This window comes from Homo sapiens, chromosome 3, assembly GCF_000001405.40.
Source record: "Homo sapiens chromosome 3, GRCh38.p14 Primary Assembly".
Taxonomy (NCBI): domain Eukaryota; kingdom Metazoa; phylum Chordata; class Mammalia; order Primates; family Hominidae; genus Homo; species Homo sapiens.
In genome coordinates this window covers 37,763,777-37,784,037 of record NC_000003.12, presented here as the reverse complement: position 1 = coordinate 37,784,037, position 20,261 = coordinate 37,763,777, and the positions used below count along the sequence as shown (strand labels likewise).

Genomic DNA, 20,261 nt, shown 5'->3' with positions numbered 1-20,261 from the left:
TCATGCAAGGAGCTTACACTTAAATGCCACCTTTGGTTAAACCCTCAAAGAAACAGGAAGGTAGAGGACTCCACAGAAAACAGTTCCAAGGGTACCCTTTGCTCATCTCTGCCAAAGAAACCACAAAGACCTTCCTGGGGCACACAGGGACCCTGGTCTGTATATGTGACTTGGGAGTTATGCACCAATTATCATTCTTTTCTTAAAACAACCATAAGACACATTTTAAATGCTTTTGGGAAGCTTGTCATTCAAAAGAGTTACTCCAGTTAACTCACTTTAAGCAAGAAATAATTTTAAGCAACAAATAATCTTTTACCAATTTAACAGTTTTATAAAGTTGGGGTTTTATGTATCAGGATATGCTGTATTTTCAATCTTGAATAATAATAATAATCTTGGGCCAGGCACGATGGTTAAGGCCTGTAATCCCAGCACTTTGAGAGACTGAAGTGGGAGGATCACTTGAGGCTAGGAGGTCAAGTCCAGCCTGGGGAAACATCCTATCTCTACAAAAGATTAAAAAAAAATTCACCTGTCATGGTAGCATGTGCCTGCAGTCCTAGCTGAGGACTAGCTGAGGCAGGAAGATCACTTGAGCCCAGGAGTTTGAGGCTGCAGTGAGCTATGATTGAGCCACTGTACTCCCATCTGGGTGACAGAGCAAGATCCTGTCTCTAAAAATATTTTTTTAAATAAAAACATTAAAATAAATAAAAATAAACTTGGATATTAATAACGATAATGATGATGATAATTGCCAACGTTACAGGCCAAGCAGACGAGGAGTCTGGCACAGGATGGGCCCCCACGGTTGTAGAATCAGTGAGAAAAGCCTTACAGACTGAAAGAAGAATACTTCCAAAAAAATCCGAATCCTACGGTGATTTTTTTTTTTTGAGACAGAGTCTCGCTCTGTTGCCCAGGCTGGAGTGCAATGGCACGATCTTGGCTCACTGCAACCTCCACCTCCCAGGTTCAAGCGATTCTTCTGCCTCAGCCTCCCGAGTAGCTGAGACTACAGGTGCCCACCACCATGCCAGGCTAATTTTTGTATTTTTTAGTAGAGATGGGGTTTCACCATGTTGGCCAGGCTGGTCTTGAATTCCTGACCTTGTGATATGCCCACCTCAGCCTCCCAAAGTGCTGGGATTACAGGCGTGAGCCACTGCGCCCGGCTCCTACAGTGATTTTAAAAATCAGATCCTACATTTCAAATGAAAACTTGTTAAGGTCAAAACAGTAAAACCTCAAATTCCCTTGTCTGGGGCCAGATCTTGAGGTCAAAAGGAAAATAAACACGACTGCAGGCCCAGGCAAACCACAAGGCTGGCGCTGCTCCACATCCTTCGGGAGGCCTGGAGCCATGTGGGCTCCACTCCCCAAGGGAGGCTGTAGCTGGCTTCAGGGCAACTGAAGCTCTGGGAGCAGCTGGGGCCCCATCTGGCTTCCAGGTCAACTTTGTTCTAAGCTTTTCTCTGCACCTGGAAGTGCTCCTGGTTTCTGCTGAAAGGGCACATGGAGAATGAGCCTTGAAGGCTTCATATGACACCCTACAGCTTTCAGCTCTCTTGCCTGCGGCTCTACTGGCCTGGCTGGCCCATGGGGACAGTAGTCACTGGGACATGTTCCTTGGCAAAGGGTCACCACTGGCTGCCGGGATAGAAAAGCAGAAGAACCAGGCTGCAGAGCTGTGCATGATTAAGTGCAAATAACTGAAGTGCAAGCAGCAGCCATCTGGGTTGAGGATAAAGGAAACATCAGAGTGGCTTACAGCCACCAGTGCTGTCACCAGGGCTCTATGGACAGTGGCAAGTATGGCACAGGCAATAAAACTGTCTGCAGCACCATTTTTGAAGAATACAAACAGGACAGGTACATATGCAGAGGCATAGTCCTCCAGCCTGGCCTGCGGACACATTTCAGGAAGGTACTTCTCCAGACGTGGGGTTTTCCAGCCTCCCTTATGGAATCAGAGGATGGCCAGTGGTGCTCTAAGTCAGGCCTGGTCCTCCTCCAACACTGTCCTTTATAAAGGGAGAGGTACAAAGGGAGAAGAAAGCACTGCAGTGTGAGTCCAACTTGCCCCAAACCAGTTTCCCTCCAGAGCAAACCAGAGAAACCAGAACTATGCACAGCTCTCTTCAGGTGTGTGAGGGCTGTAACGGCTACAGATTGAAAATGGAAAAACATCCCCTGATGCCTGCATCCTCTCAGGTCAGTGTGTTACCTCTGTGCCTATTTAAAAATAACCACAGAATGACTTTTCTAAGGTTATTCATTCACACGTGGATAGGTTTGTACAGATTAACACATTTAGTCTTTCTAAAGAAAAATAATTGGAATCTCTGAGGCTAACATGCATATTTAGTTTTATCTTCACATGTAATTATTTTTACAGCAACTTGTTGGAAGTGGCCTCTCAGCAGCTCTCACCTTAAAATAAATCATAGGAAATTTGTATGATTCTTCAAGAGCCACCGATGCACTGGTTGAGGTGGTTTTTTAATGAACCACCTGTGATAAACTCATAATAGCAAAGTGACCTGAGGTTCAAAAGTTGGACCAAAACAAACCGTCATTTAAACTAGGACTCATGGGTCAAATCTGGCCCTCTGCCTGTTTTTATAAAGTTTTACTGGATCACAGCCATGCCCATTTATTTGAGTGTTGTCTATGGCTGCTTTCACAATACAATGGCAGAGTTGAACAGTTGCAAGAGACTGTAGGGCCTGCAAAGCCTGAAATATTTACCACTGGCCCTTTACAGAAAAGGTTAGCCAACCTTCATCCAAAGCGAGGTCCCTAGACTGCAGGACTGGCATCACCTGGGTGCTTGTGGCAACTGGAGAGCCTCAGACTGCACCCCAAAGGAATCTGTGTTTGAACAAGATCTCCAGGTGATTCTGATGCAAGCTAAAGCATGAGAAACTTAAATGGCCAAACAAAATCCCTGGGGAATGTGTTAAAAATGAAGATGCCGATTTATTAAGTCTGGGGTGGAGCCCAGGATTCTGCATTTCTAAGAAACTCTCAGGTGATGCTGATGCTGCTGGTCCTCGGACCACACTTTGAGTAGCAAGGGTCTGGTATTTTACCCTGGCATTATCTACCAGCAAAATTACCAATGGCACTTGCTGGAAAAGTTTCAAAAGGGGCAGCCAGACTATTACTAAACAGTTCAACAACAACAACTACAACAACAGATGTTGGTGAGGATGCAAAGAAAAGGGAACACTTATACACTGTTGATGGGAAGATAAATTAGTACAATCAAAAAAGCAGTATCGAGATTTCTCAAAGAACTAAAAATAGAACTGCCATTCCATCCAGCAATCACACTAATGGGTATATACCCAAAGGGAAAGAAGTATTGTATAAAAAATATACCTGCACTGGTAAGTTTATTGCAGCACTATTCACAACAGCAAAGATAGGGAATCAACTTAAGTGTCCATGAATGGATGACTGGTTATAGAAAATGTGGTATATATATATATATACACACACACACACACCATGGAATATTACTCAGCCATAAAAAAGAATTAAATTATGTCTTTTGCAGCAACATGGATGGAAATGAAGTCCATTTCCCTAAGTGAAATAACTCATAAGTAGTCAACTACTGCATGTTCTCACTTATAAGTGGGAGCTAAGTAATGGGTACCCATAGGCATAAAGAGTGGAATTAACAGACATTGGAGACTCCAAAATGTGGGAGGGGGGTGAGGGTTGAAAAGTTACCTGTTGGGTACCATGTTCACTATTGGGTACACTAAAAGCCCAGATTTCATCACGATACAATATATTCATATAAGAAGTCTGCACTTGTACCCCCTAAATACATAAAAATAAAAACAGTCTCTTGTAGACAGCCAAAAGGGGGGGCAGCCAGATTGTCATGAGGACACCAATTCAAATGCTTTCCTTTTTCCTTTTTTTTACCCAAAATCAGATGTCAACAATTCAAATGCTTCTAAATGCATCCACAAGTGCGGTTCATTAGGGCTTACCTTTTTCAGTATTTCTGTGTTCAGCAGCATGTAAATGTCTATAGTACGACTTTCTTCTTTAGCAAGAGCACTAAAGTTACAGTGTGCTGTTAGGCAAGAAATTCCTGGTTTTTCACAGTCCTGAGAAGAAAAGTCAGAAAAATTTCCAATGGAATTAAGAACAAAGACAAATCCACAACAATTTACAGAGTAGTGGGCTCCATGAACTTGGTGACTAAGGCAATTCCAGGCAGAGGAAATCCACAAGAAGATGCAATCGTTCTTTCTCGCCACCAGAGGGCATTCAAGGGATTTCCCACCCAGTGGGAACCAGAGCATGCCTTTAAGTCAAGCAACTGGGAGAAAACAGCTCACTAATTTATCCTACCAAGAATTGGATGAATTCACAAAGAGAAATAATTGTTTTTTTTTTTAAACCCACAAACTTAAATTTTGCATTCTGAAAGCATTCTTATGAGTTTTGAACACAGACACGTTTCCTACATTATGTGACTTCCACCTGTGTAGTGGCAAATATACTTTCATGCCTATTTATTAGGTAGGTGAATAAGAGGGCTAAGAAGTCATGTGACACTTCCTCAAGAAAACACAAAAGTTACAATAGAGACGTAAATCTCGGCTGGGCGCAGTGGCTCACGCCTGTAATCCCAGCACTTCGGGAGGCTGAGGTAGGGGGGTCACCTGAGATCAGGAGTTCAAGACCAGTTTGGCCAACATGGTGAAACCCTGTCTCTACAAAAAATACAGAAGTTAGCCAGGCATAGTGGTGGCCGCCTGTAGTCCCAGCTGCTGGGGAGGCTGAGGCGGGAGAACTGCATGAACCCGAGAGGCAGAAGCTGCAGTGAGCCGAGATCATGCCACTGCACTCCACCCTGGGCGACAGAGCAAGACTCCATCTCAAAACAAACAAACAAACAAAAAACCAAAAACATAAATCCCAAATTTAAGTTACAAAAGTTTTCTTTTTTATATGATAGGTTCCAAAATGCGTATACATACCTTGATGATGTTTCATCTATACGGCAAAATTTTCAGCCAGACAGAGTCGTAACTATAAAATCACTAGGTATCACTACATCTAACAAGTCTAAGGGCTTTCAACAATATCACCCTCACTATGTAAGTAAAAAAAAAAAAAAAAAAAAAAAACCCAACCTTTCAAGTGGCAAACAGTCACCCTTCTCCAACAGGAGAAAAGAATGAGAAAGGAAATGATAAAGGTGAGATGTGCCAGGGCTGAAATAAGGAGCTTAGAGAAATGTAACCAAAGATAAAAAAAAGGAGGCTTTGGAAAGCATTGTCATTCCATCTTCAATACCTGCACTTTTTAAAAATGGAGGTGTAACAAATATAGTAAATAGAACAAATCTGAAGTGTGTGTCTTTATAATTTTTTTTTTTTTTTGAGACAGAGTCTTGCTCTGTTGCCCAGGCTGGAGTACAGTGGCACGATCTTGGCTCACTGCAACCTCTGCCTCCCTGATTCAACCGATTCTCCTGCCTCAGCCTCCCTAGTAGCTGGGATTACAGGCGCCCACTACCACATCCAGCTAATTTTTGTATTTTTAGTAGATACAGGGTTTCACCATGTTGGCCAGGCTGGTCTCAAACTCCTGACCTCAGGTGATCCACCCCCTCAGCCTCCCTAAGTGCTGGTATTACAGGCATGAGCCACCGTGCCCGGCCTGTCTTTAAAAATTTTTACATGTGTTTATACCTGGAGGACTACCACCCTGATTAGGATGTAGGACATTTCCAGCATCTAAGCAGGCTCCCTCATGCCCCATCCCATCCACATTCCTCTGAAAGTAACCACCTTCTTGACCTCTATCATCATGATTAGTTTTTGCTATTTCTGAACTTCGTATAAGTGAAATATTACAATATGTGGCTTTTGTCTCTAGCTTCTTCCACTCAATATATTCTGTCTGTGAGATTCATTCATTAGCAGTAGTTTGTTATTTTTCATTACTGTGTAATATTCCAGTGTATGGATATACCACAATTGCTTACTTATTCTCCTATTGATGGATATCTGCATTGTTCTCAGCTTTCAGCTATTTTAACATTTCTGTGAGCATCCTTTTTCATGTCTTTTCTGGGAAGCACAAGTACTCATTTTTCTTGGGGATATACTCAAGAGTAGAATGGCTGTGTCATAGGATACACACGTTTTGTTTTAGTAGATATTATCAAACAGTTTCCCAAAATGTTTGCACAAGAATAATCACTCTTGTTTAGACTCATTCTAGTGGAAGAAACATTTTACTTTGTGCTTGGTGGGTTGCAAAGATTTATCCCTTTTCCAGGTAATAGGATTTGGAATGTAAATTTAACATTTTGATTGAAACCTCAGACTGAAAATTAGGAGTTGACCACAGTCTGTGCCTTTGTAAGTCAAATTGATTAAAACCAGATTTAGGAAATAATAAATATCAAATAGAAAACTGGTGTCTTCCGAGTGAGGACCACCCGTGTTACCCCAACCACTAAACAAATCCTTACCAAGACTTTTCTTCCAGACTTTGTGAAAAAAGCAAATATTGTGTGGAAGATATTTTCTTGTTCTTGAGGGATGATGCAGGGAGTTGGGTTTTTCTGGAAAGAGCAGTTTCCCTTCTCTTGGCCCACCTGCAAATGAAAAGAGGCCTGTCAGAGGAGTCATTCTCAAGAATGAATCATGATGCTGGAGCCTCTTATTGTAGAGGCAGGAGTGGTAGAACCCCAATTCACCTTTCCTCCTTGTCCATTTTGAAGTGGAGAACAATGGCTGAAAAGCTGAAAGGCAGAAGTTGTAGCATCAACAGGGCCAAATAATAGAAAATGTGGATCTTAGGTCCCCCAATAATTGATGAGATGGCATATAACATGCAAATGAGATGTGACTAGGAAATAGGAAGACTTAAGGAGTAAAATAAGCCTTATACTCCATGGTTTTGAAAGCACACTTAAGAACATCCTTACAAGCAATTCTTGTCTGAATGAGGAAAATGAGACTGAACTTAGGTCACTGGCCAACAGTCATGGAGTCAAGAACCCAGGTCTGGAACTTGGGACCAAGCCTGATGGATGATCTGCTGCCAGAGGTTTTCAACCATTCTAGAAAGCCCCCACGGTGCTGTAAAACTCCTTAGGGGTCCTTCTAGAGAAAGGGAATGAGCAGCAAGCAGGACTGCTCATGGTCCAACTCTAAAGCCAGAGTTTTGCTACCAAAAAAATAACTGACCAGTCTCTGCCCTGAGCCAGACGGGGACCTGCATGCTTGCCGAGCTCTTGGTGAGTGATTTGATTTTGCTTCTGACAGCAATGGCAACGGTGCTGAGTGACAGCAACATCAGAAACAAAACAATGGTGCTTAGTCTTTCTTGATGATTTCCTTAAGAACAGCACTCTTTCTGATGTTTAAATTGAGGAACTGTTAGAAAAATGAAGTCTTCTTTATATATCACCATATCACACTGGTTGTAGCTGAAGGCTGGACAGGATGTGAGGTTAAACCAGAAAATTAATAATTAGTAATTCATAATTTAGAATTGTGCTTACAATCCCATGGCTAACCACAGGCATCTGTTAAATTGCCCTGTCTATAATGCCCTTGAGTAAAATATAGTTGTTCAAGAATGTTTCAACTTTTTATTCATGGTAGGGAACAAAAACTTTTTTTGCTGTTGGTTTTTTTTTAACTTTTATTTTATGTTTGGGAGTACATGTGCAGGTGTGTTATATAGGTAAACTTGTGTCATGGAGGTTTTTGGTACAGATTATTTCATCACCCAGGTACTAAGCCTAGTACCCAATAGTTATTTTTTCTACTCCTCTCCCTCCTTCCAACCTCCATTCTCAAATAGACTCCAGTGTCTGTTGTTCCCTTCTTTGTGTTCATGAGTTCTCATAATTTAGCTCCCACTTATCATTGAGATCATGTGATATTTGGTTTTCTGTTCCTGTGTTAGTTTGCTAGGGATAATGGCCTCCAGCTCCATCCATGTTCCTGCAAAGGGCATGATCTCATTCTTTTTTATGGCTGCATAGTATTCCATGGTATATCTGTACAACATTTTCTTTATCCAATCTGTCTTTGATGGGTATTTAGGTTGATTCCATGTCTTTGCTATTGTGAACAGTGCTGCAATGAACATTCATGTGCATGTGTCTTTACGGTAGAATGATTTATATTCATTTGGGTATATATATACCCAGTAATGGGATGCTGGGTTAATTGGCAGTTCTGCTTTTAGCTCTTTGAGGAATAGCCACACTGCTTTCCACAATGGTTGAGCACATTTATACTCCCACCAACAGTGTATAAGCATTCTCTTTTCTCCAAAACCTCTCCATCATCTGTTGATTTTTGACTTTTGCTTTTTTTTTTTTTTTGAGATGGAGTCGCTCACTGTTGCCCAGGCTGGAGTGCAGTGGCGCGATCTTGGCTCACTGCAAGCTCCGCCTCCTGGGTTCAAGCCATTCTCCTGCCTCAGCCTCCCGAGTAGCTGGGACAACAGGCACCTGCCACCATGCCCGGCTAATTTTTTTTTGTATTTTTAGTAGATATGGGGTTCACCGTGTTAGCCAGGATGGTCTCCATCTCCTGACCTCATGATCCGCCCGCCTCGGCCTCCCAAAGTGCTGGGATTACAGGCATGAGCCACCGCACCAGGCCAATTTTTGACTTTTTAATAATAGCCATTCTGACTGGTATGAGATGGTATCTCACCGTGGTTTTGATTTGCATTTCTGTAATGACCAGTGATACTGAGTTTTTCACATGCTTGTTGTCTGCAGGTATGTCTTCTTTAGAAAAGTGTCTGTTCATGTCCTTTGCCCTCCTTTTAATGGAGTTGTTTTATTCTTGCAAATTTAAGTCCCTTATAGATGACAGAGATCAGACCTTCGTCAGATGCATAGTTTGCAAATATTTTCTTCCATTCTGTAGGTTGTCTGTTTACTCTGTTGATAGTCTCTTTTGCTGTGTAGAAGCTCTTCAGTTTAATTAGATTCTATTGGTCAGTTTTTGCTACACAAATAAACTAAAGCTAACAATGCTAATCTATTAATAGTGAATTATAAAACAAGACCACCAAAATTTGCTAAATTTATCTCTATTTTATCTTTGATCTGAATACATTCCAGGATTTACTATATATGTCTGAAAATAAATAAGGTGAAGGTTTATATCCTCAAGTTAAACTATTAGAAAAGAGGATGTTGCCTATAAAAGTTTCTCACAGTTTGGGACTTACTGTCCTTTAAAATTTAAGTGTCTAATAATTTGGAAATTTTGTTTTTTGTTTTTTGTTTTTTTTTTGGAGACAGGGTCTCTGTCTCCCAGGCTGAAGTACAGTAGTCCAGCTCACTGCAGCTTCAACCTCCTGGGCTCAGGTGATCCTCCTTCCTCAGCCTCCTGAGTAGCTGGGACTATAGGCACATGCCACCACACATGGCTAGTTTTTGTTTTGTTTTGTTTTTTGCTGGTTTCTTTTTTTTTTTTTTGGTAGAGATAGAGTTTTGCCACATTACCCAGGCTGGTCTCGAACTCCTTAGCTCAAGCAATCTGCCTGTCTTGGCCTTCCAAAGCACTGGGATTATAGGCATGAGCCACTGCACCCAGCCTCAATTACTTTATTTGAACGACAACATTTGGGGAAAACACACTAGCCTGAAATGATCTCAATCAACATCAGGTCTGGACGATTTTAGAGGTCACGAGAGGGAAACAATGGGAAGGAGGCAATGAGCTTTAATGAAGATTTGGTAATTATTCCTTGGGTTCAATTGTTGAAAGTTGCAATAAATATTTGAAAGCCCATTTTAGAAAGCAATACGTAAGCTGTTGATGTGGGGAGCAGCATGAATATTCACTTGCAAGACAAATGAGGAAAACAACTGCTGCAGTGCTACGCAAGTGGGCGTTGGTGTGTGCCAATCAAATTTCAGCACCAACATGGATTCAAGAAGTTCTGCATTTCAACTAAATTAGGCAAATTGTAGATGATATATTCTGGTAAACTGCTGACTAAAAATGTGGCTTAGAAATGAAACCCATCAATCTCAGAAGATGCACACTTGGATAAAATTATTGTGTGAAACATAAGAATGAAGAGTATTATAGATTAATATATCATTCTTATAAAATTTTAAGCATTCAACCACATGATTAAGTTAAACATTATACACAGATAGTTGATTATTTCTTCATTTCTCCAAACTTCTTTTTATTGAGGTAAATTTACAGGCATTAAAATCCACAGATCTAAAGGGTGCAGTTTGATGAATTATGTCACCCAGTAACTACCACCCCCATGAAAGTACAGAACTTGTCTCTCACTCCAGAAAGTTCCCACCAGTCCCTTGCCAGTCAATTCCCACTGCCCACTCCCCCCACCTCAAAGGCAATCATAGTTCTGATTCCTATTAAGTTGGCAAAAAAAAAAAGAGAGTTAAATTTATCTAATTAGGGAAATGGAGGATGTGCTATTTGGGGCTTGCCCTATATTTAGGCATATATAGTACATTGTGGATGGAAAATATTTATGTTTATTGGGCGTTTGAGAATCCGAATGTGTGTAGTTGTGCTCTTAATATCCATCACTTTTTCACTCCAAAGCCTGTAGGTCTCCAAATTCCCTGTCTGTCTTCTGGAGTGGACATCTGCTGACAGACCGCTGGAAACTGTTTTCTGCAGCCCTGTGGCATGCACATTCCTCTGCTGAGATTACGAGGCCTGGCCACCCAAACACATTTGGTCTGGGTTTAGAGAAACAGAACCTCTGAGCCCTGCAGGATGCATCCATCCCTCATTAAAATCAGGCGTGGGAGCAGAGTTCCTCCTTGCTCTGCACATCGGTGCTTCAGGTTTCTAGGCAGGGAGAGGAAGCTTGGGAGCAGAGCTCCAGCCCAGCCAGTGTTGCTAATGTGCTTCAGGTGTGAAGAGCTAGCACTGTCATCTGGCCACAAGACGCCAGCGGAGAGGGGCAGGGAGCTGGGAAAGGCAGGGCAAGCGAGTGAGAAACAGCCTAAGCCTCAGTGTCAACCCCAAGGGGCAGAGTCACAGCTCAGAAGTTAGTTTCTGTCTCCCGCCGGGAGTTTCTGGGGTGGCCTGTGAACAGGGTAATGGCGATGGCGTGATGTGATGCAATGTGACACCTCATCTGCCCCTGGTGGGATCTGGAAAGGGGAAATGAGGACTGAGTCTGCGGTGAATGAAAATCTTGGCCAGTTGTGCTCCCGACTGTGGTTACATGGGAATCACTTCAATCGGGGAAAGCAACGTTTTTCTGAAAGGTTCAGGGTGGTCCCCTTTCAAAAGGAGATTGAAGGTTGCCTGGTGCTACATAAGTCTGATTCAGACCAGCTAATCCTATTGCAGTCACACCTTCAGTCCTCAGCTAAAACTCAGGAACTCAGTACCTACCAAGGGTCATCAAGGTGGAGGGAGGCGGTCCTCTAAGTGTGTTGAACAGGTACCAATGTGACAGCCATGACAACGGCACCTAACACTTGCATGGCCCTTACTGCACGCCAGGCTCTCGGTGCTTTCCACACATTAACATTCAGTCCTCACAGCAGTTCCCTGAAGCAGGTGCTATTACTGTCCCCACATTTTTGTTTTTTTTTTGAGATGGAGTCTTGCTCTGTTACCCAGGCTGTAGTGCAGTGGTGCGATCTTGGCTCACTGAAACCTCTGCCTCCTGGGTTCAAGTAATTCTCCTGCCTCACCCTCCCCAGTAGCTGGAATTACAGGCACACGCCACCATGCCTGGCTAAGCTTTTTGGATTTTTAGTAGAGATGGGGTTTCACCATATTGGTCAGGCTGGTCTTGAACTCCTGACCTCAGGAGATCCACCTGCCTTGGCCTCCCAAAGTGTTGAGATTACAGGTGTGAGCCACAGCCCCTGGCCTACTGTCCCCATTTTACAGATGGAGGCAAGCTGAGAGGCAACAGGAGGCCCAATTACAACCAGAGGCTCCCCAGGTAGCAGGCCACAGAACTGGGCTGGGACACACGTCACACAGCTGCAGACATCTGCTTATCACCACTTTCCTGCACTACCTCTTAGGTGGAAGCTGAGGATGGGGCTGGGGCAGGAGTCACAGAGGAGTAGAGGTGGAGGGAAAGCTTCCTTTCCTCTTACTGTGGTCAGAGGAAGAAACCACTAGCCTGGAAACCTCAGCATTCTCCAGCCTGACCCATTTCCACCACTGTAGCAAAAAAAAATGACTCCTGCCTAGACCATGGGAGACAAAAGTGCCTGCTGACTGAGAAGAGGCCTATTCTGCACAGTCTCTTGGGCTGGAAGGGGGGAACAGAGCATTCTGGAATGTTGTTTCTGGAAGGCAGCTGCGAGATCATGCAGTCCTTGTGGCCTCAGCTGACAGATAAGGAAACAGAGGTCCCCGAGTTCAGCGACTTGTCCAAGGTCATGTCCGGGCCCCAGTGAAGTTCTGTGGTACAGACGCTCTTGATGAATACTCAATAGTCCTGGCTTCAGCCCTAGCTCTGCCTGCTAACAGCCGTGCCAGTTTGGGTCTCCAGGGCCTCAGTTTCCTCATCTACACATGAGGATGTTGGCCCATGTAGTCACTCAGGTTGTCCTTAGTTGCTAATTCCTCACTTCATGAACTGTCTGTGCATTTTCATTACAGCAGGGGACTACCTTATCTCATCACACAGATAAACAATTACTGACTATCCATCCTCCCACAACTTGGTTTTAACCGCACTCTTTGCTCAAAGTCAAGGGGACATGATGCTTTTTTCATGTGTTGCAGACAACCCAAGCATCCCCGGCCAATGACCAACAATGTCATTTCCTTGGCTGGCTAAGGACTCTGTGGCCATCGCCCCCTTGCTCTTCTCTGCCCAGTCAGTCCTCATTTATTTCCCAGGCTACCGGAGTCCAAATGCTTCTCATGACATGGCTGCTTATCTCTCAGGGCCTCTGGGAGCTGGCAGAGGTCCATGGCTATTAGAATTTGAACAAAAGGACTTCACCAGGCACCCAAACAAGGAAAGGAGGATGCAGGACACAGTGACAAGGCTGTATTCTACCAAGGCAGGTACTGAGGGTTTTCTGTTGGCATCTGTCCTCCCCTTTACCCCAAAGAGGACATTGTGCAAACTGAAACCATGAAATGGTGGTGACTGGGGAAGCTGTCAGGAACCCTGGCTGTGGGAGCCCAAGGAGTGGCCATCACTTGGTGGCAGAGTCTGGGTCAGCCTCAGTGAAAGGAGCTGTCATGGTCAGAAGCCACCACGGTGCCAGGCCTGTGAGAGGATAAAGAATCCCCTGTTCACTCTAGGGGATCTGGCAAGACCTTGCTTCATGAAGTAGTGGGTTTGAAGTGTGAATCAGGGCTGATTCCATAGGTGTGATACTGAGAAAGAGAGCAGACCCTTTGTTTCAAATGTTGTCGTCATCTGATCCCAGGTGGAGAAGGGAAGTCAAGAGCTGTTACTTTCCAGGCTGAGGTGGTCAGATAAACGGCTTGGAGGAAATGGCATTTCCATGTTGTAGGCTCAGTCAGGCACTTCTAAGAGTTGTCTGTTGACTCAGAGCAAGAGAGAGGACACAGGTTTCCTCCCACAGGGCCCCAAACAGAGCAGCCAAACACAGTCCCTGTGCCTGGGTTTGAACACTGAAGAGGCAGAAAAGTCCTCTGATCTTTTTTCTAAGTGTCATGCTCCAAGCACATCATCCTGGGAAATCGCTTATGGTCCCATCTCTATACTGAGTTCAGATATCAATGGAAATAATACAATATTAGGTGCTATTAGTATGTTAGAGAACGGCATATGCTGAATCCTTACGGCACCCATGTGTGGAGGGTACTGCTCTCAGAAGGGTGACCATATAATTTATTGTCTAAACTGGGACATTTTTGAGGTTCAACCAGCTAGAACAGCAGCACAGAGACATTTATCAGGGATGTGACAGATAAGCTTTAACTTCTGCTCTCCTTAAATTCCACCCCTTTTTACAGATGAGAAAACTGAGGCCCAGAGAGGTTAAGTAACCTGTCATGTCTGAGAAGCACATCTCGAAAATCCCCACCAGGATGCTCTGTCCCACTCCATCTTCCTTGCACCAGGCTGCATAGTAGCTATTCCACATACTGAAGCCCAAACACCACCTGACCACCACCTCACTGTTTATCCATTCGCAGCCCCTCAGAGCACAGCTCCTAATGAGATTATAAATCTTGTCTACAAATTTCTCCCTCCACCAGGAAGTCAGCCCCTCTCATATCTGACCCAGAGGAAGTGGCATTGCAGGTAGATCGCAAAGGATAAAGAAAACTTCTCAGGAGTAAAGGGAGGAGGGAGAAAGGAATTCCAGGAAGAGAACAGCATGTGCAAAAGCATAGAGGGGCAAACTTGAGACTGGAGTCTAGAGAGCCAAGGAGTTCAACACAGGTCAAGCACTGGATGAATGCTGGGTAGCAGTGGCCAGAACTGAGGCAGGGGAGATGGGCCTGGACACAGAGGAGGGCATGTGACAAGTCTTACACATGGCGTGGGTGGAGGTAGTTACCCAGAAGGTAATAGGAACCAGGGAAAGCTTTGAAGTAGGAGAATGTGTGAGAATGTATGATTTAGATCATGTGGATTAACGTCGCTCAAAATTAAAGAAATAATTTGCAGCTTTGGTATGTGATATTTTTAGCTTTTTTTTTTTTTTTTTTGAGACAGAGTTTTGCTCTTATTGCCCAGGCTGGAGTGCAATGGTGCAATCTCAGCTCACCACAACCTCTGCCTTCCGGGTTCAAGCGATTCTCCTGCCTCAGCCTCCCGAGTAGCTGGGATGATGGGTGTGTGCCACCATGCCTGGCTAATTTTGTATTTTTAGTAGAGATGGGGTTTCACCATGTTGGTCAGGCTGGTCTCAAACTCCTGACCTCAGATGATCCGTCCACCTCGGCCTCCCAAAATGCTGGGATTACAGGTGTGAGCCACCACGCCTGGCCTATTAGTATATTTTTAACAGGCAGAAGCATAGATGCCTCTACCAGTTTGCCATTTTACCAGTACGAACCCCATCAGCTGGCTGGGGTTCCAAGGATAGGGAGGGTCACCAAAGTGTCCATGGCTTGATGCCCCTTGAATGCGTGCATCACCAATCAAAGGAAAATGGAAGATTAAATTAGCAGAGGAACAAACTGAATGACAGTAGTGTTCCCCATGAGCCACGGCTGGAGTCATCCCCAGTGTGGTTTTTGGGTAAAAAAAAAAAAACCTAAAAGGTATGATCTAAAAGCTATGTTTGTTGAATTGGCTTGGGTTAAAAGGGACCTAGGTTCATTTTAGAATAACATGTGTTTCCTGTTAACTCACGTTTCTGTGTTATTCATTGACTTTATGTTCTCAGTTACATCCCTGGGCCACTTTTCCATATCATATTACACCAATCGCAGCTGACGGCAACCGGGTAAACATGACCCACCCCCTGACTTATCGCCTGCTTCTCTGAAGTCACACGCTCCTTGAGTTTGAAAACTCAGAGAATGTTTTGAATGTCTACTTTGCTAATTCAATTACCCATTGCCTACTCTGAGAACCAAGGCATCAAAAGACAGTAAGCCCCTATTCCGGCACAGGCGGCTGAACACATACTACAATGGCTGTGGTGACATTAATTTTAGGACTTCAGGGTTTGAAATAAAGATAGTAGTCATACAATAACTGAGAAATGATACCAGCTGGTTGATTAGCCTGACCTAAGGTGTCTAGTTCTAGAAAGATAAATAAGATAGCTTCATATTATCCATCTAGAAAAATGCAAACCATGATTCATGGTTGCTTAGCAGCCTTAAAGAGCCCTTCAAATTATATCTCATGTTAAATCATGTTGCTATGATTTACTATTGAGTATTTCTTCATATTGACCAAAGACTAAAATATAATAATATTAATGAATCCTAGGACAAATACTTTCACGTATCACCATTCATTTCAAGACCCTGTAATAATGCAGACTCAGGATAACCTACAAAGGGTGGATGCTCACAGGCTCTGTTCATTTACTCTAATTTTTCAATTGCAATGACACTATTTAATATAAGGCCAGAGAAACAGCAATAATGATCTTAGATTGCTCCTTAATATGAACATGGCTAATTTCATGCTACTCGTGTGTGCATCACCCCATTTGAAGGTAATGAGGAGTTTTCAATGGCATTCTTTGGGAGATCCTTCTGAAGAATGATGGTCTTTTGCTTTGTGAAAAGAGACCCCGTGTTCATTAGTGCACCAAATTTGGATTTTCTGATATTTACCCCTCTGTGTAGCTAGTGGTTCCAAGGTGTTTATTTAAGGACAAAAATCCAAAAAACAGAAACAGTCTGATGATCACAACAACATAAGCTAGGCTAATATGAGGGGCTCTGGCTTTGGACAGTCCCTGCTAGCTTCAGTGTTCAAATAAAGAGTTCTGTCTTTGAACCGAAACGGGTAAACAAAATCACATGACAGCCCACTCCAAACCTGCAGAGCTGGGGATAGAGCAGGTGGAGCAAGAAGTTAAAGAATGACCTAGTATCACTTAAGCACAGAAAGGAAAAGATCGTAACTTTAACTCTAGATGTCTTCTCCCTTTCTAACTGAAAACTGTCTTCTAAATAAAATACTTGCTTTCTCTAACCCTTTCCCCATCCCTTAAGGCAGTCATCCCTGTGAAAAGTGGTATGGAGTCTGAAAAGGTCAGGGTGTTACTGAGATCAAATCTGAAACTGAAAATAAAGGGGCAAAGCCTCCAGACCAACGTTTCAGAGGAAAGGTTGAGTATAATCCAATGCACAGCCTCTGTATGAGGCTGCCATTATTTCATGAACAATTTCACTTCTCATGATAAAAGCCAGTGGATTTCATTTCCATCAGCTTTAGGGTTTGGCTAAAACAATGCCCCTGCATCCTCCCCTCCTCCCTCTTCCTTTGCGTGTGACAGGCCAACATGCTGGAAAGTCAAGAGTGCAGGCCACCACCACCAGGCTGCCCTGTAAAACGGGATGGGCTTTAATTAATTTACATGTAATCAGAGAAAGACAAGTTCCCCAGACAAAGCCCATTTCCCAGGCATGGGGATGGCCTTTTATTGGAGTTAAAGCGATACAGATGGGAAGTAGTCTGAGAGAGGCAGTGACACAAAAGAATTTCCAGATGCCGTCAGATTCTCTTTAGTGAAAAAGCGATACATAAATATGTTATCTGAGCACTTGACATGCATACCAAAAATGTTTTCCTTCCACAGATAATGAAATATTTTGGAAGCAGAATGGTCTGTTGATTTGGGTAATAAATGAGTGAATAGCCCCCATATGAGACAAAACATGGTCCTTGGAATTGTATCTGCTTGTTTAAATTCTGGTTCTAGCTCTTGGACCCATCTTAAGGTAAAGAATGAAGCTCAGACCCATCTTCCCTTAAAGGCTAAAGCAGCACACCTATTCACTGGGTTGTCTCTGCATTTCCTGCATATATTGCTTTATTAGTTCCCTTTTATCAAAGGGTAAATCACACTCATTTTCTGGATGCCATGATTCCTACATCACCATCTATCTAACCTCTTCCACTGCTTTTCTGAGAGTACATACACCAGAGCAGTGAAAAGTGAAACCTCAGTGTCCTTCATTAAGTCTCAAGTTTCAAGGACTTCATGGGAGGCCTGAAATATGCTTTAGGTCATAAGTTTAGATTAAAGAGAAGTAAGTGAGGTTGGCTCCCTGACAGCTGGGGAGATCATTACTTCTCAGCGTCTAACAACATTGAGGCAGTTCTTTTTGGTCTGAAGAAACTTGGGGTGTATGTCAGAAAAGCGTTTTCCTGTTTTTGCGCTTCCGAAGCATACACAATTAGTCCTTGGCAGGTTAAATGAGAACCATGTGTTTCTCGGCAATGGCCGATGAGCCCTGTTTATCCTCAGTGAGATTTCCTGTTATCGACTTTGGTAACAACCCATCACCCCTGCCATGGCAAGGCTCTGTGTCATGTTGCTTTTAAGGAATGAACGTAAGCAAACTCCTCACCACCAACTTTTGACGCCTATTCATGTAGCAGACCAGAAAACACCAGGCACCTACGCATCGGCATTCAACTAGCCTACATGCTGGCAACAAAGTGTTAATGCTTCCAGATGTCACAGCAGCTGTGAGCACAAGACATTTGGGCTCCTTGATAAGGCCGGGCGCCTTCAGTCAGCAGGGAGACAGCACTGCTGGCTTGATTTATTCTCTCTGGCCACACAGGTTAAAGGGCAGCCTCTGAACCACACTCTGTACGGACAGCCGGGACTGAAGCTTACCCCCACCTTCCAGAGGGTGTGTGTTGAGTGTAACTTGTGCACAGAAACACACACGCTTTCTCCCTCTAGCCAAGCTCAAATTAACCAAGAGCCTAGGAATGTAACTTTTGTTCCAGAATTCAATCAGCCATCTCCCTTCTTTTAAGTGTTTGGCTTCTGTTGAGAAAAAGATTTAAGGCAAACCTAATCCTGACCCATTTCAGGAACTTGACTATTCAGCTTGCATTCATACATGTGCAGAAAGAAGAAAATGCAAAAGAAAAAGAAAAGAAAGTTTAGGGCCATTACTGAGATCAGCAGTGTCTGTGTGAGAGAAACTGAGGGGGAAGGAAATATGTGTTCAAATCCCTGACCAAAGTTTGTAGAGTTTAAATTTGCTCTAAGAAGCTTTCGTTTCTGATAAGTAATTCAATCTCTTATTTCAAAATTTCACCTTCTTATTCTCACATTGAAATTAAGGCAACCTCTGCCATGGGTTAAAGGAATTTGTTCAAAATATTCCTACTGGGCGATCTCAAGTAGAGATGGGGGGATGTCCTGGAGCCAATCCCCAGGAGATACAAGGGGTGACTGTGTGTCTGAGGATGCCACTAACAGAGTGGAAGCAGCCATTTCTTTCATTTGTCTCACCACTCACTATGGTCTCGGCACCAAATGCTGCAAATACACAGAAAATAAGGACCTTGCCCTTTACTCTCATGGTGTTTTTAATCTGGTGGAAGAAGACTGATGATAAGAGAGTAATTTCACATAGTGACAAGTGCTATGAAGAAAACAACATACAAATGAGATAGAGAGTAATGGGGGTTTGCAACTTTAGGTAAAGTGTTCAGGGAAGACTTATTGAGAAAGTGAACTCTGGGCTCAGATCTGCATAATAAGAAGGAGCCAGCTATGCAAAGATTGGAGGGAACAGTGTTCTCAGCAAAGGCAGGTGCAAAGGCCCTGAGGCAGGGCCATCTGTGAAGGCATCTGGGAAGCCTTGACAGAGAGGACATATGAACTGGGTCTTGAAGAATGAGTAGCTTTCCACAGCCAGAGGGGAGGAGAAGTCACTAGCAAGGGCAGGGGGCCCAGGGAAGTACAAAGTGAGAGCCTTCAGCAGCATTCATGGTCCAGGGAGGCTGGAAGACAAGGTCAGGGATGAGGGGCTATTGGAGAAAATGGCCTGGAAAGTTGGGTGGGAGGGAACGCCGGGTTTTGGACCTATGGCTTTGGCCATTAAGATTTCCTTGATTTTTTTTTTTTTTTTTTTTTTTTTACTGAGAATCTCGGAGTGTTTCTGAGCATTATACGGATAAATTATTAGGACTAGAAGTTGGTGTAGAGAAATTATTAGGACTAAAGTTCTCAGATAGTAAACCAGGTCCTTACTTCCTGAGTGATAATGATTCATGATGAGGAGGGGTTGGATGAAGAGGCACAGGATTTGCTGCTCAGTTTTGAATTTTTATTTGGAGAATATGGAGAGAGCAAAGAGGACACCCTAGGATGGGAAAGAAAATTAAAGGAATTGTAATCTTTTTTGGAAGAGAAGGGGGAAGTCAAGGTAATAGCTCAACTTCTCTACATGAGGGAACTAGGCAATTATTTTTCATTTTAGCTAAGAAAGGGTCATGGGGCATGGAGAATTGTGGATAGTCATAACAAGGGATTTGAGGGATACCAGAATGGCTTAACAAAGAGAACTTGCTGGAAAAGCAGTTCTGTGTACTGGGGAGACATCTCGATTGTATTCTGTCCAAAGGTAGAGGGTTGGATCATATAATCCCCCAAATCCACCTCTTCCTACATGAGAGGGGTTTCTAATCCTTGTTAGAAGGAACCTCTCACCCAGAGAGCTGGCTTGGTACAGTCAACCATTGAATTTCCACAAAAAAAATTGAGGGTGAAGGCGAGGAAAAAAAGAAGCATGTGTTCATGATGGGGAAGAGCAGCATAGATAAAAATG

General features: G+C 43.4%; 1 protein-coding gene and 1 long non-coding RNA gene across 2 annotated transcripts in view, besides 1 other annotated feature; one reads left to right on the top strand and one right to left on the bottom strand.

The window, feature by feature from the left end:
* Window positions 1-20,261, bottom strand: part of ITGA9 (integrin subunit alpha 9) — a 371,367-nt gene that overhangs the window by 39,470 nt on the left and 311,636 nt on the right. The window contains exons 24-25 of the mRNA NM_002207.3: window positions 6,521-6,646; window positions 4,017-4,136 (exon numbers count right to left, since the gene is read on the bottom strand). Of these exons, the coding sequence (NP_002198.2) occupies window positions 4,017-4,136; window positions 6,521-6,646 (246 nt within the window). The remainder of the gene's footprint in view (window positions 1-4,016; window positions 4,137-6,520; window positions 6,647-20,261) is intronic.
* Window positions 1-20,261, top strand: part of ITGA9-AS1 (ITGA9 antisense RNA 1) — a 108,092-nt gene that overhangs the window by 77,743 nt on the left and 10,088 nt on the right. The gene's annotated exons all lie outside the window — the stretch shown is intronic.
* Window positions 16,449-19,530: an enhancer, noted in NCBI's record as "VISTA enhancer hs1961". NCBI's record gives its function as "enhancer in: neural tube[11/14]" and the evidence as "EXISTENCE:transgenic organism evidence [ECO:0001131][PMID:17130149]".